The sequence below is a fragment of the Homo sapiens genome, chromosome 15, assembly GCF_000001405.40.
Source record: "Homo sapiens chromosome 15, GRCh38.p14 Primary Assembly".
NCBI classification, from domain to species: Eukaryota; Metazoa; Chordata; class Mammalia; order Primates; family Hominidae; genus Homo; species Homo sapiens.
The window spans coordinates 77,605,099-77,618,735 of NC_000015.10; the positions used below are offsets into that span (position 1 = coordinate 77,605,099).

The 13,637-nt window shown below is 58.0% G+C and overlaps 1 protein-coding gene and 1 long non-coding RNA gene across 16 annotated transcripts in view, besides 7 other annotated features; one reads left to right on the forward strand and one right to left on the reverse strand.

The window, feature by feature from the left end:
* LOC105370906 (uncharacterized) overlaps positions 1 to 13,637 on the forward strand; it is a 61,603-nt gene that overhangs the window by 36,240 nt on the left and 11,726 nt on the right. The window lies entirely within an intron of this gene.
* Positions 134 to 853: an enhancer, noted in NCBI's record as "H3K4me1 hESC enhancer chr15:77897574-77898293 (GRCh37/hg19 assembly coordinates)". NCBI's record gives its function as "activates a minimal SCP1, AML or CMV promoter by ChIP-STARR-seq in primed H9 embryonic stem cells {active_cell/tissue: H9 hESC(primed)}" and the evidence as "EXISTENCE:reporter gene assay evidence [ECO:0000049][PMID:30033119]".
* Positions 2,109 to 2,403: an enhancer, noted in NCBI's record as "tiled region #5143; HepG2 Activating non-DNase unmatched - State 10:DNaseD, and K562 Activating DNase matched - State 8:EnhW". NCBI's record gives its function as "activates a minimal TATA promoter and a strong SV40 promoter by Sharpr-MPRA in HepG2 and K562 cells {active_cell/tissue: HepG2 | K562}" and the evidence as "EXISTENCE:reporter gene assay evidence [ECO:0000049][PMID:27701403]".
* Positions 2,109 to 3,011: a biological region, named in NCBI's record as "Sharpr-MPRA regulatory region 5143".
* Positions 2,293 to 3,011: an enhancer, noted in NCBI's record as "H3K27ac-H3K4me1 hESC enhancer chr15:77899733-77900451 (GRCh37/hg19 assembly coordinates)". NCBI's record gives its function as "activates a minimal SCP1, AML or CMV promoter by ChIP-STARR-seq in naive H9 embryonic stem cells {active_cell/tissue: H9 hESC(naive)}" and the evidence as "EXISTENCE:reporter gene assay evidence [ECO:0000049][PMID:30033119]".
* Positions 6,197 to 7,024: an enhancer, noted in NCBI's record as "H3K4me1 hESC enhancer chr15:77903637-77904464 (GRCh37/hg19 assembly coordinates)". NCBI's record gives its function as "activates a minimal SCP1, AML or CMV promoter by ChIP-STARR-seq in primed H9 embryonic stem cells {active_cell/tissue: H9 hESC(primed)}" and the evidence as "EXISTENCE:reporter gene assay evidence [ECO:0000049][PMID:30033119]".
* Positions 7,929 to 13,637, reverse strand: part of LINGO1 (leucine rich repeat and Ig domain containing 1) — a 207,874-nt gene continuing 202,165 nt past the window's right edge. For all 15 annotated transcript variants that reach the window (NM_001301186.2, NM_001301187.2, NM_001301189.2 and 12 more), the window contains one exon: positions 7,929 to 10,802. In NM_001301186.2, coding sequence (NP_001288115.1) covers positions 8,946 to 10,790 — 1,845 coding nt within the window. In that variant the 5' untranslated portion in view covers positions 10,791 to 10,802 and the 3' untranslated portion in view covers positions 7,929 to 8,945. The remainder of the gene's footprint in view (positions 10,803 to 13,637) is intronic.
* Positions 9,231 to 9,730: an enhancer, noted in NCBI's record as "H3K4me1 hESC enhancer chr15:77906671-77907170 (GRCh37/hg19 assembly coordinates)". NCBI's record gives its function as "activates a minimal SCP1, AML or CMV promoter by ChIP-STARR-seq in naive and primed H9 embryonic stem cells {active_cell/tissue: H9 hESC(naive and primed)}" and the evidence as "EXISTENCE:reporter gene assay evidence [ECO:0000049][PMID:30033119]".
* Positions 10,957 to 11,783: an enhancer, noted in NCBI's record as "H3K27ac-H3K4me1 hESC enhancer chr15:77908397-77909223 (GRCh37/hg19 assembly coordinates)". NCBI's record gives its function as "activates a minimal SCP1, AML or CMV promoter by ChIP-STARR-seq in naive H9 embryonic stem cells {active_cell/tissue: H9 hESC(naive)}" and the evidence as "EXISTENCE:reporter gene assay evidence [ECO:0000049][PMID:30033119]".

A 13,637-nucleotide genomic window follows, 5' to 3' on the forward strand; every position in this document is an offset into this window, starting at 1 on the left:
GCCTTGGCCTCTGTCTCCTCTGTTCCCACACCTCAAATCTTTCCTCCTTAGATTCTGAGATGTGTCCCTCTCATGCTCAAGCACCCACCATAGCTCCCCATTGCCTGGGTGGTGTGCTACAGAACACCCTGCCTCAGCTTCCCTAACCACCCACACTCATCCTACACTCCACATGAGCAGCAAGAGCCAGAAGGAGGGGGCAATTCTGTCTCTGGCATAGGGGAGTCTTCAAGGGCAAGGAGGGAATATTCAAAGCAGATTTTCCTCGTCCTAAGCCAGGGAACTGGAGCTGAGGGCCTGGGGACACCTGCAAAGCTGGTGCCTGCCTTTCATCTCCTCTCTCTACATGAATGGTTACTATCCCTTCGCCCCCACTGCCTGTGGGACACTAGGCTCCATGGCTTCAGGGTGCTCCTGGGGTGTGGTCCTTGTCTTCCCGTAAAAGTGTTTGGAGAGCTTTCTATTGTGGGGGTTGGGCTGGAGGTCAGCTGGAGGGCACAGCTGGGACCTGGGAACCCATCACAGGCTGTCCTGGCCCCTGCAGCTTTTTGCCTCCACACAGAACAATTCCCCATCTACCCCACACTTCCAGCAGTCCCTCCTGCCTCTGGATGACCCTGGGAGCCCGTCAACCTTCCAGCGTCCCTGTCCCTTCCAGCTGCCCTGCAGGAGAAAGGGAACAACTGTCCTCCTGGCTCCTGGCCAGCCAGGTGCCAGCCAGTGGTCAGGCAGTCCTGCTTCACGCTTCTGGCCGCAGGGCTTCGCCACAGTCCCTACTTCCCAGCTAGGGGCTCTGCCTGGACTCACCATGGGCAGAGGACCTTGTTATTCCCCAGAGACCGTCTTGTCTGGTTGGGATCTCAGAGCCCGTTGTACCCAACTCTGGCTGTACAGAGAGGGAAAGTGAGGCAGAGGGGCGAGGACTCCCCCCAGGTGGTCGACGTTGGCAGGCTGCCTGAGAAGGACACAGGAAGACTCCAGAAAGGTGACCTCTGGGTGGAGGGGAGTGACTGTTCTGATGGCAAGGATCCTGGGGGCTTTGGACATCCTGGCTCTGGACTGAGCTGCGCTTGGGAAATGGGCAAGAGGTGGTCCTGGGGTGGCCAGGGTGGGGCAGGCGGATGGGTCAGCAGACCCCTTGCTCTGTTCCAGGAGACTGCATGGCGTGGAGGGAGGGATTTATGGGCCCAGGTATAGGGCTGGGCCATAAAGGTCATTCTGCTAGAGAGGCTGTGACTCCGCCTCACTTTGGCAGTGGCGTGGGGGCAGGGAAGTCAGATAGGGGACACCACTGAGGCCTGGGGTGAACCCTGAAGCTGGAAGAATGTGAGATACCTAGTGTAGGCTTCTCCTAGGCCCTTGGGAGGGGTCAGTCCAGAGATGCTCAGGGTCTTATACAAGGTCACACCACCTCCTGGCACAGGGCTGTGGACAGAGCCCAGGAAAACAGATGCCTTAAAAGCTTCCCCCAGCCCCAGCTCTGGGTGCTGCGGAGGGGCAGCTGCATACCTCCTCCCATCCAGGTCTGCTCCCTGCGCCCTTGGAGTGTCCTGCAAGAGGTCTGGCAGTCAACGGGGGAACGAGGCTTTCCCGAGCCGGCTCTCTCCTCTTTACGACACCATATTTTTTAATGAGCTATGTAAATGTCTGCAAGTCAGACAGCAAAGGCAGGAAGTCAGAGCCTCCAGCTGCCGCCCCCGCCCCTGGGAATGGGTGTCCCCCTGGGGCCAGTCTGACCTTGTGTTTCCCATAGGAAGGTTTTCTGGATGCCATGGAAATGGCCACCTCCCAATTCAGCTGAGTCAGAACTGGTGCTATTGCCGACTGACTTGTTTTGTGACCTTAGGCCTGTCACAAAATGCTGTACCTCAGTTTCCCCTCACTGTACCTCAGTTTCCTCATTTACAGAATGTGCGCACACAAAGGGCATTTTGTGGTTTCTGAGGCTCCATGGCTTAGCCATGCAACTTGGGCAGTGGCTGGGCCTCTCTGAGGTTTGTGGTTCTCATCAGCAGAACAGGGAGCCGGCCATGCTGACCGCTGCCTTTGGGCTGAGCTTGGACCGCAGGAACCAGGAGGGATGCATCACGGGCAGGGCCCGCCTATCCTCTCTCTTGCCTGGCTTTCTCTTTCTTCTGCCTCCAGCTTCCTCCTCCTCTGTTCCTCCGGAACATCCTGCCACCCCAGCCACAGGATTGGCTGTCTACGTGGCTGTGTCACAGTCCAGACCGGGAGTGAGGGGGCGTAGGCAGTGGGTGTACAGGGAGAGCCAGACCTTGGGTCCCTGCTGGGGTCACATATAGGGCATGGAGAGGCCTCCTGGGTTGGCCTGAAGGCTGGGGTAGGAAGGAGCTGGGGCCGAGCACTGGGGCATCCCTCAGTCTCCGTGGCCCCTTCTCAGACACCAGCACTGTCACTTGGCAGGATGACAGGGCCTGGGCTGGGGCCACAGGACGAGCCATAATAGGCTTAAGGGGAGACTGTAAATCCCTTTCCAGGCTGAGCAATCAGCTCCTTCAGGCAGGCAGAGGCTGGAGCTCCCGGGGGAGGGCCCTGTACTCCTAGGGATGTGTCATGTGGTTGCTGTTCTTAGACTCCTGCCCCATGGTCCCTAGTGGCCCAGCAGGGACCAGGCCAGGCCTAGCGTGCCAGTCCCTCAGAGCAGGCTGCGGGGCCTGGGTCTCAGGGCCCCACAGGGATGCCAGGTGGGTTGGGGGCCAGGATGGGGGAATTGACTGGCAGAAGCTTAGAGCACGCCCCCGCCACCATGTGCTCACCCATCCAGGCCACAGCACACCCTCCTCCCCCAACTTCCACAAAGAAAGGAGGCCGTGCCTGCTTCACAGATGAGAAGCCTGAGTCTGGAGTGGTTCGGGCCCAATGTGGGGCTTTGTTTCAGGGAAGTATTGATGCCCTAAGTGTGAATCCTGACGTCAGCACCTAGCTGGTGGTGGGCCGCAGATAGTCACTTCTCAGTATTCTCATCTGAAAGGGAGCCTGTAAGCCCCTCCTCCTGGGATGATGAAATAAGAGAAGGCACATAGAGCATCTGGCCTGGGGCCTGGCACAAACCCTCAATGAACAGTAGCTATTGTGATTATTGCCATACTTCCCCCGTACCCTCACTATGGAAAGGGACTCAGACTGCACAGCAAACTTGGGTTCAGGTCCTGGCTTTTTCCTTACCAGCTGTAGATCACTGGGACAGTCACCATCTCTCTCTAAGCCCCCTACTCCTGAGCAAACCATACAGGGCTGTGCACCTGTGAGTGGTTCCTCAAAGGAATAAGGCACCACAGAGGTCCCTGTGACTTCCAGGGACTTCCAAGGTGATTTCCAAAGGTGGCCGTGACAACTCTCACACCCTGAGTGCCCTTTTGCGTGTGACTGCAGCTTGTCCTAGTGAGAGCTGGGCTCTGTCCTCCCTCTCGTTGAATCTAGGGGGATCTGAGACTGCCTTGGCCAATAGAATGCAGCCAATGTGGTGCTATGCGTCTGCCTGGCCTCGGCCTTGAGAGACCTGGGAGCTTCCATTTATGTCATCTTGGAGTGCTGAGTTACCTTAAAGAAGTCTAAAACTCAGAGAGACCATGTGGAAAGAGAGGAGCCAGCGGCCCTGCAGTCCTTCCAGCCTCCCAGCTGAGGCAACAGACATGGTCAGAAGCCATCTAGGACCTTCAGCGGCAGTGAAGTCTCCCCAGTCGATGCCACACAGAACTGAGATGAGCTGTTCTCACCAAGCTCTGCCCAAGTTCCAGAGCTAGGAACAAATAAACAGTTGTTTTAAACCACGAAGTTGTGGGCGTGGTCGTTATGCAGAAATAGATAACTGATCCAATCCTTCATGCCTTCTGCACCATCTTCACCCCAACTTGGCTTGTGCAAGGTTGAGCTCCTTGGCCCCAGCTGACTGGACAAGGGGATGGGCACCTGACTTCAAGGCAGCCAACCGATTGGCTGGTGAGTGACCATTCAGCCTTTTTTTTTCTCTGGAGACTAGGAATGAAGAAATCAAAGGCCTTAGCCAGACTACAAAGGAGGCTGGAGCTTGGGGTTTTTGAATGGGAGCTGGGGCGGGGATGAGTGGGTGACTTTCAGTCCTGTACAGGCTGTCATGTCATCAGAGGGCACCAAGTTGGGGAAAGAAGCAGGAAAGGTGATATGGAAGCAGGTTCTCTGAGGGTTCCATAAATCACTTAGCTCCAAGTGGGCTGTGCTCCCTGTTCCTTGTACCTCATGAACCCTGACTTCAGGCCCTAAAATACTCAAGGGCCCTTGGCCAGCTGGTGGCAGAACTTCCCCAGGGGCTCCTGATACCAGCCAGGGGTCTACACTCCTCCTCTTACCCCTTCTCCCTTGCTCTCTGTGACATATTCCCCTGTCTCCTTGTCCTCCAGGGCCCCAGGGCACAGCCACTCTCTCTCCTGGGCAAACAGGGCTCATGAGCTGGAGTCTGCTTCTATCCTCTCCACACAGCCCTGAGGCCTCCAGTGGCAAAGCAGAGGGTATGGCCAGGTTTGGTTTCTACCCCAACCCATTTGCCATCCCTGTTGTGTCCCGCACAGTCCCTTACCCTACCAGTTCTTGAGTTCAGCTACCACTCCCTTGCTTGCCCATAAAGATGTCATGCTAGTAACAGTGGTCATTAGTGTACCCAACAGGTGCCACACCCTGTGTAGGTGGGTACTTTACAACACTGTCTTCGATCTTCCCAGACACCCTGTAAACATAGGAGTTAACCCTATTCTGCATGTGGGACTCAATGGTGGAGGTGGGATTTGAACCAAGGTCAGCCTGACTCCAAAGCTCACGTTCCATCTACCACTCTGCTGTATGACTCTAGGCAGGTTACCTTCCCTCTCTGAGCCTTGTATTCTGACTTGTGAGGGGTAAACCAGGGAAGGGTTCTGGTGCTCACTGCTCCCTCTAATACTCATCTTCCTGGTGCCACCCTCGGGTGGGTCCACTTGAATGTCGATGGTGGGTTCCCAGTCTCAGCATCCTTTCTGGTTCCGGCATGTCTGCCTCATAGAGGAGCAGGCCTGGAGGCTGTGCTGCTTTCAGTCTCCTGGAAAGCAGGCTGGACTCTCAGGATTCAATATCTTGCCTTTTCCCCAACAGCTTCTTCCAACCTCATCCCCTTGGCCCCAGATTAAAAGGTGAGCAGAGCAGCGGGCTCCCAATAGGGTTTGAGGCAGCAGGGCATCCTGACTCCAACACCCCATGGGGTCTGAGGCAGAGCAGGGCCATCAGGGCTCTGGGGGAATGTGGGTGGCCCAGGAAGGCTCTGACCCTTCAAACCACCTCTGGGCTCAGGTTCCAGCTGTGTGTGTGCCAGGGCAAGGCAGTATCTGCTCCTCCTTTCCCCGTCTCAGAGGCTGTCCAGGCATGAAGAAAGCAGCCTCTCCAGCCTGGCTTCCCAGACGATGCCCTTTAAATCCAGCAGTGCTTTTAGCAGCAGTTGAGTTCACGACCCTCTTCCACAGAAGAAGGTTACACAGCTCTGAAGGGGCTGCACCTGGACTAAAACCCACCTGGGCTCTGCCCAGTCCCCAGTCCTCTCTGCTTGGGCAAACCCAGTCCATGGGTCCTGGGCACTCACATTCCCCCAAACTGATCCTGCCCCCATCTGAAAACAACCTAGTAATTTTCTCATGTTCTTGAGTTTCCTCAGGGGGCCGTTCTCTCCCAGTAGCCAGGAATAAATTGGCCCCTTGACCTCCCTGCTCTTACCAGCCTTGAGGCATCCCAGAGGGGTTAGTAAGAACCCATATAAGCTGCCTCCTGCAGAGGACGGTGCCAACTGGGCTTCCAGGGCTGGGACGATGGAGGGGGCCCATGCACCAGTCTCTCCTGGGAGGAGGGGCAGGGCTGGGACGATGGAGGGGGCCCGTGCGCCGGTCTCTCCTGGGAGGAGGGGCAGGGCTGGGACGATGGAGGGGGCCCGTGTGTTGGTCTCTCCTGGGAGGAGGGGCAGGCTTGTGGGGTTTTTGAAGACTCACTTGGTCTCCTGTTGTATACAGACCCAAGGACCCCTCCCCCTGTCCCTCGTGCTCCTCTGAATGCTCTCCTGCCCAGAAGTGGCTCTGAGAAGCCTTGAGTCAGTTTTAGAAGTCTGTGGCTCTGAGAGTCTGGAACCAGGCCCCAGATGGGTCACTTAGAAGCTGTGCGATTTAGGATAAGCTGCCACCCTCTCTGGCCCTCCCCCTCTGCATCTGTGTAAGAGTGGGGTCATCACCACTGCCAGTTGTAGAGGACTGACTGAATGGCAGGCACTGCACCAATCCACAAGCCAACCCACGTGCCTTCATTTCATCCTCCTGATGACCAGAACAAGTAATATCGTCTGTTTTACAGGCGAGAAGTCTGGGGCTCAGAGGAGTTAAGTAACAATGCCGAGCAGCTGGTAAGTGCTGGAAATGGAACTCAAACTCAGACCTGACCTCAAACCTTACAGCCTTATAATCACAAGTCTAGGCTGCCCACAGGGACCCTCAACCGTTGCACACCAATAGTCCTGGACTCAGGATCCTATGGGGAGAGGATCCTGTTTCTTCTCAGGGGATAAAGCCTGAGAAAGGGGATAGTTCAGAAGGCTTGAGCCTCCCCCAGAACCAGGGACAGCCTTAGGTGGTGGTTGGGAGATGGGGGAGAGGGCAGGCTGGCCCAGCTACGGCTACCAACTGCTTCAGCTGGAACCAGGAGGCAAGCAGCCTCTCAGAGATGCCTTTAGATTGAATGAATGAATAAGTGATCGAGTGCCAACTCCATACAAGACTCCGCCCACCACGCCATCCCACCAGAGGCTTGGTTTAGAAGGTGCTAGGCATGTAGCTGTGCCAGTTTGGGTGGGGGCGTGGGCCCTGGGAAGAACCCTGGTGGGAGGAGCTGCATCCCGGAAGTCTCCTGCTGTGAGGGCTGACTTCCCTATTGCTCCCCCTCCACGTTCAGCTGGGTCTGTGCCCATTGATTCTAGCATCGCTGGGGTTCTCCCCTAGCCGGAAGAATGAGCAACAGGATCGCCCTGGGTCCACTATGGGGCTGGACCCAAGGAGTTCCCAAGGAAAGAGGGAACCTGGAAGGGAGAAACCAGGCCTCCCTGACCCTGAAGCCCCTCCTTCCTGACAGAGATTGGGGGTGGTCTGCTGGCTGACCTACTGGCCCAGCTTTTTGGGTCAAGGTCCATGGCCGATGGGAAACTTACAAGGTGACTGCCTGGCTCTTCACACTGTGTTGTCAGGGGCATCCCTCTCCAGGGTCAAGTTTGGAGCTGCTGGATTTGGTTTGAATGGGCACGGCTGGAAGCAACGGGTGGGGGGTCTGTTTTCTGAGCCTCCGGGTCTGCTCATGTGCAGGTGGATCCCAGCCCCAAACACAGAAGCCCTAACAGCCCAGGACAGGCTCAGAGCATGGCCTGGTGGAAGATGGGACCAGACTGGGCCTGGGAAGCCTCAAGGGCAGCCCCAGAACTGCTTCTCCCAGTCCCCACAGCCTGGGCACTCTGCATGGGAAATGGCATACAGTAGGTGCTTGATAAATGCTGTGCAAAGAAGGCTTGGGGAGAGCTGATGCTCCCAATCCTTGCATCAGTCTAGGCCAATGCTGTAGGGGGCCTCCAGCTTCTGGGGAGCTAAGCCTTGAGCCCTGTAGAGCTGTTACCATCAGGCCTGGCAGTCAGACCCACCATCAGACCAGAGGTGAGGGACTCTCTATGCCCGTAGCCTCAGGATCCCCTTCAGGTCTACAGCCCCCTTCTCCAGCCAGTGCTGCCAGCCACAGCCCCAGCCGCTGTCCTAGGAGGAGCCTCTGGAAGTCCCTGGAGCAGCACTCCCCCTGACACCCCCCCAGGCCTACCCCCATGGAGGGCCCCTCGGCAGCCCCATCCCCCACAGTGAGATAATAATGACCATAATGAGAACAGTCACCCACACGTGTGCACAGCGCTTTACAGGTTACAAAGTGTTTCACATACATCATCTCATCAATTCCTCACAACAGCCCTGTGAGGTAGGCAGGGCAGGGGGTAATGTTCCCATTTGTACAGATGTGGAGACTGAGGCCCAGAGAGGCCAGTGACCTGCTTGAGGCCACACAGCAAGTGAGCAGCAGAGCTGGGACCAGAGGCTGGGGTGGGCCCCACCTCCAGCCCCTGGCTCTCTCCACTGACTGTGCTGTCCCCCAGGAGGACCCCAGCCTCTGTCCAGAGTCTCAGCCACACCCAAGCCAGGCTCCCACCCCTTGCAGTGGTGCCGCCTGGCAGCCCAGCAGACAGGCTCCCACCCCCATCGGCAGACCTGTCCCCTCCACCTGCGCCCTGCAAAAAGCCAGCCCGGAGCTGGGCCCAGGCCTGCCCCCTAGCCTGCTCCTGATGGTGCCTGGGGCGGGGTGGGCAGGTGGGTGGGGCTGGAACCTCCTTTCCTGTTTTCCTGAGTGATCCCTCCCCACTGGGGAAGAGAAGAGAAAGGAGGAAGAAGAGGAGGAGGAGGAAGAGAAAAACAAGAAACTGAGTTGGAAGAGGGCCCTGGAGCAATCAGGACGTCAAAAGTTTGCATTCCGACTAGCTATAGGAAATAGTTTTTTTCTCTTTTTATTATTTCAAGTTTTCATAAAAATCCATAATTATTGAAACCCAAGTTACAGAGAAAGTTCGTAACTTTTTTATTGAATTATTGACTCTGCCGCGTGTCGGTTCGTCGGCTTTCAACTCCAGTCTGTCAATGCCCCTGTGTAGGTGGGGTCCCCAGGTCTGGGCTTCTGAGGTCCTGGTAGAAGGAGGGCAGGTGGTGAGGGCTGGCGGGGGGCAGCAGGGGACGGAGGCGGGAGGGAGAAAGAGAACGTGTGTAGAAGGGTAGGGAGGAGGTGGGAAGGACTGGAGAGTGAGCAGGTGGCGGCCAGGCCCCTTCCCCTGCCCGGCCGCCCGGGGGTCCCTGCCCCCCGCCCCGGCCTCATATCATCTTCATGTTGAACTTGCGGGGCGCGTCGGCGGAGCTGATGCCTGCGTCCGACTTTCGGGGCACATACTCGATCTCGATGTTGTGCTTTGTGTTGCCCTTGCCCCGGCTCCAGAGAAACAGCAGCACCAGGCAGAAGAGGACGACGCCCAGGAAAGAGATGAAGCCCATGGTGGTGGCGATGATGAGGGTCTTGATGTCGAAGGGGAAAGGCACAGTGGCGCGGGTGCTGTTGGCCTCTCCCTCGCCCGGCTGGTTGGAGATGAAAGCGAAGGTCTTGTTGGGCTGATGGGGCCAGTCGGGCGAGTAGCTGCGCACATGCAGGTGGGCGGGCATGGAGTCGTTGCCGCCCGCGTTGGCCGCGATGCACAGGTACGTGCCGTTGTCCTGTACCTGGGCGTAGCGCACCTCCAGCGTGCCATCAGGGAAGACTGTGAGCCGCCCATTGCTCTTGGCTGAGACCAGGTGCTTTCGGGGTGAGAGCCAGAGGATGGCGGGCGGCGGGTCGCCATCGGCCCGGCACACAAACTGCACCGTGTGGCCCTCGTCCACAAACACCTGCTGGGCCTTGCGGTCCCGGATGCGGGCGCGGCGGCAGGTGAAGTAGTTGGGCAGTAGCACATCAGGGAAGTCCTTGAACTCCTTGCCCTGGACAAACTCGGGCGTGGCGCACGTGGGCTGCTGCCGGTTGAAGTTGAGCCGCCAGCGGCGCCGGAACACCCACAGGAGCCGACAGTCGCAGGCCAGCGGGTTGGAGTCCAGGATGAGTGTCTCCAGGTTGCCCACCGAGTGGAAGACTGATTCCTCCAGTGTGGTCAGCTGGTTGCCAGAGACATTGAGCACGCGCAGGTAGTTGAGGCCGCGGAAGGCATAGGGCTCCACCACGGCCAGCTGCCCGCCCACCAGCTGGATCTCCTGCAGCCGGAGCAGCTCATGCAACATGGAGCCCTCAATGGTGCTGATGGGGTTGTAGGAGAGGTTGAGGAAGCGGAGATAGACTAGGTGGCGGACGGCCAGGTAGGGCACAGCGGTCAGATTGCAGTGTGTGATGGACAGGGACGTCAGGTTGAGGCCGTAGAGGCAGTTGGGTGTCATGGTGTCCAAGTAGGGCCAGTGGGAGATCTCCAAGACCTTGAGTCGGTACAGCCTCTTGAAGGAGTAGTCCCGGATGGCATTGATGTTGAGGTGCCGGAGCCTCAGGACGATGAGGCCGTGCAGGTGGGACAGCGCCTCGGTGGGGATGGAGGTCAGGTTGCATTTCTCCAGCGTCAGCTGCTCCAGGCTGTTGAGGCCGCTGAAGGCGCGGTGAGAGATGTAGACGAGGTCATTGTCGCCAACCTCCAGTGACTTGAGGTTGTACAGGTCCTGAAACATGTAGTCCAGTAGGATAACGATCTTGTTCTCGCTGATGTCCAGCTTGGTCAGGTTGCTGAGGCCAGTGAAGACGCCTAGCGGGATGAGCTTCAGGCGGTTGCTGCGGAGACCCAGCGTCCGGAGGTTGAAGAGGTTGTTGAAGGCGCCGGGCTCCACGGCGCTCACGATGTTCTCGTTGAGCTCCAGCTCCTCCAGGTGCGGGAAGCTGGCGAACTCGTCCTGGTTGAGCGTTTTGATGCGGTTCTTGCCTAGGTCCAGCAGGCGCGTCTCGGTGGGGATGCCCTCGGGGACTGCCACAAAGCGCTTGCGGTGGCACAGCACAGCGCGGTCCTGGGCGGAGCACTCGCAGCGGGGCGGGCAGCCCGTGGCCGAGCCTGACAGCACTGAGCCCAGCACCAGCAGGAGGATGGGCTGCCAGCAGGCCAGGAGGGGGCTGGGCATGCTCCTCACGCCCCCCGCCAGCATCCTCTTGCTCACCTGCAGCCGGGAGCAAGCACAGGACAGAGGTGGCGGTTAGGGGGCAGTGTGTGTCTGGATGCCACCCCAAGCCACCTGGGCCCCTCCTGCCCTGTCACGATGACCCTGATGCAGATAGAGAGGCAGGGTCCAGATGCCCAGGCCAGAGGGCCTCTGGCCTCCTCATGCTGCCCCCTCCTTGCCTCTTACCCTGCCTGGAGTCTTCCCAAAGGACCCTCCCAGCATCCTTGGAATGGAGGGGCTCAGGGAAGGGGCGGGTCACCTCAGACAGCCTGGCATTGGCGCCACCTCCTTTACATTTCACAGGCGGTTGACTCCAAGCACACACCCTGCCCTGAATCACAGCTCCCCTGGTGCTCATCAGGGATAAAACCAGACCTGCTGAGCCGCTCTTGGGCTCACAGTGGGGATCAAAGGGGCTCAAGGGCTGAGGCCTCTAGGAACAGCCCCCAAGAAGCCGGAGCAGAGCAACCAGGAGTGTGGCTACCCCTAGCCTGCACGGCCAGGGCTTCTGAGGCTGCTGGGGGCCCCACTCGCTCAGCCCTGAGCCCTGAGTCTCCCCCGGTGCAGACGCCATGCCCCCTCCCCATCAGCTCTGTGGCTGGGTCTGCAGTAAACCAATGGCACCTGACACTGTTCACGGGTCTGTCACCCATGGGGTTCCTGGATTGCTGGGGGACACCCTCATCCAGAAGGCCCAGCCCTGAAGCTGCCCTCCCTCCTCCCCCTGCACCTGCAAATCCAAATCCAGCCTGGACTCCTGGTGGGATCTGTGACTCTCCACTTCCTCTGGGTCCCATCGGTGACCCAGCTCAGGCTCCTGAGCCCAGGGCCCGGAGAATGTCTTTTCCTGCCTCCTGGTCTTGACTCCTGCAGTTCTTTCCTCTGGCAATGCCCCTTCCCTGGCTGTTGAAATTCCATCCACAAGGCCTAATTGAAGTCCGCTGCTCTAAGAAGTGTTTTCTGTTACCCAATAAGAAGTGAAGTGTGCTCCCCTTAAAAAGACCCTCCAGCCGTCACCTGTCTGTCTCTCAGGGCTCCCACCACCTTCTTCCTAGTACCAGAGTTCTGCACAGCTGCTAGTCTGAGGAAGGCACCATCAGATTCCCACAGGCCAGGATAGCCAGGCAACCCTGGAGGAGTGTGCCCCAACTACAGCACCGAGGCTTGTTCAAGCTGAGCTCTGAAGCCATGCAGGGCTTGGGAGGTGGTGACATGAGAAACCGTGCCAGGAGCGGGGTCCAGCTTGCATATAGGCTGCAGGTGGAGTGAGCAAGGGGTATGCGGGAGCCTCCGTGACCCTCTCCCACCCCCTGTTCAGAGACCACTGGTCCCTACTTCTGCCCCAAACTGCCTCCCATCTCCTCCTTCCCTCTTCTCTCTCCATCCACCCCCATGAGAAACTGGCCTGGCAAATAGGGTGAGTAGGGGGGTTGGGGGAGGGTAGGTCAGACCCTAGGAGCTGCTCCAGGGGTGGATCAGATGGCCTCTGGGAGCCAAGCTGCAGTCATCTAGCTGCTGGTGGGGTAAAGACCCATCCCTGCTCCTCTACTGCAGCCTCCAGTGCCCCTGGGGCTTTGCTGCTGTGTCCACACCCTGTACTCATGGCCCGGAAGGGGCTCAGTGCAGGAGGGGGAAGCCCAGACCGGATGTCCCACCTCTCCACCCTAGCTCAGGCCCTTCTCCCACCCCTTCCCACACCTCACACAGCCCCTGCTTTCATGGCCACAGGCCATCCATCCTTGTCATCCATGCATCAGCCATTAAGGCAACTGAGGCTCACAGAGGCTGTGGCTGTCCAAGGTCACCCAGCCAGTAGAGGGAGCAATTCTGGGATAGGAGCTCTGGTCTGCCCACAAAACCACACACTTGCAAATGCTCCACCAGTCTCCCAGGACTGACGGGAGCTTCGTGGTTGTTGATTGACCAAGTCACTGATTAAGCAGAGAGGATTCAGGGGGGCACTGACATGTTATGGAATCTGCAAGGGTTCTGTTATCCCCAAGGGCTTTGTCCACCCTGACCCTCCCTTCAGCCCCTCTCATCCTCTCTCCAGGCTCTTCTGCAGTTCAGCTTCTCCCCACCCGACCCCCACCAGGCTATTTTCCACAGTCACACACGCTCCAGTGACCCACCAGAAAAGCAAACATCCTGACAGGCGATCAATAAGTAATTGGGCCGGCAGCTGGGGCTGGCGCGGGTGTGAGGCTGGGGACCTCAATAGGTAAATAGGACTTTTAGCATCCAGCTCAGGGCCAGGCTGGCGGGTGGGGGGAGCTGCTGGAGAGAAGGCTGGGGAATGAGGGGGGCTAGTGAGGACACGGGCCACCCCGAGGTGCTGGTAAGCCCCTCTTATACAGACACGAATCTGGCACACAGGAAGCTTGCACCACCGGGCCTCAACCTGCCCACCCACCTCTTTTCCCACCAGTCCCTGAGCAAAGCCACCTGGGCCTCCCCACTTTGTCCTGCACACTCCTACCTCTAAGCCATCTTGTTCTGGAGAACTGTCCCAGACTCCTGCCCCAGCAGCCTTTGCAACCTTCCACCCCAAAGGCCACCTCCTCCAGGAGGCCATCCTTGACCTACTCAGTCAGATATCACCTCTTGTCCCCAACACTGTTATTCTTTTTTTTTTTTTTTTTTTTTTTTTTTTTTTTTTTTTTTTTTTTTTTTTTTTTTTTTTTTTTTTTTTTTTTTTTTTTTTGAGACGGAGTCTCGCTCTGTCGCCCAGGCTGGAGTGCAGTGGCGGGATCTCGGCTCACTGCAAGCTCCGCCTCCCGGGTTCACGCCATTCTCCTGCCTCAGCCTCCCAAGTAGCTGGGACTACAGGCG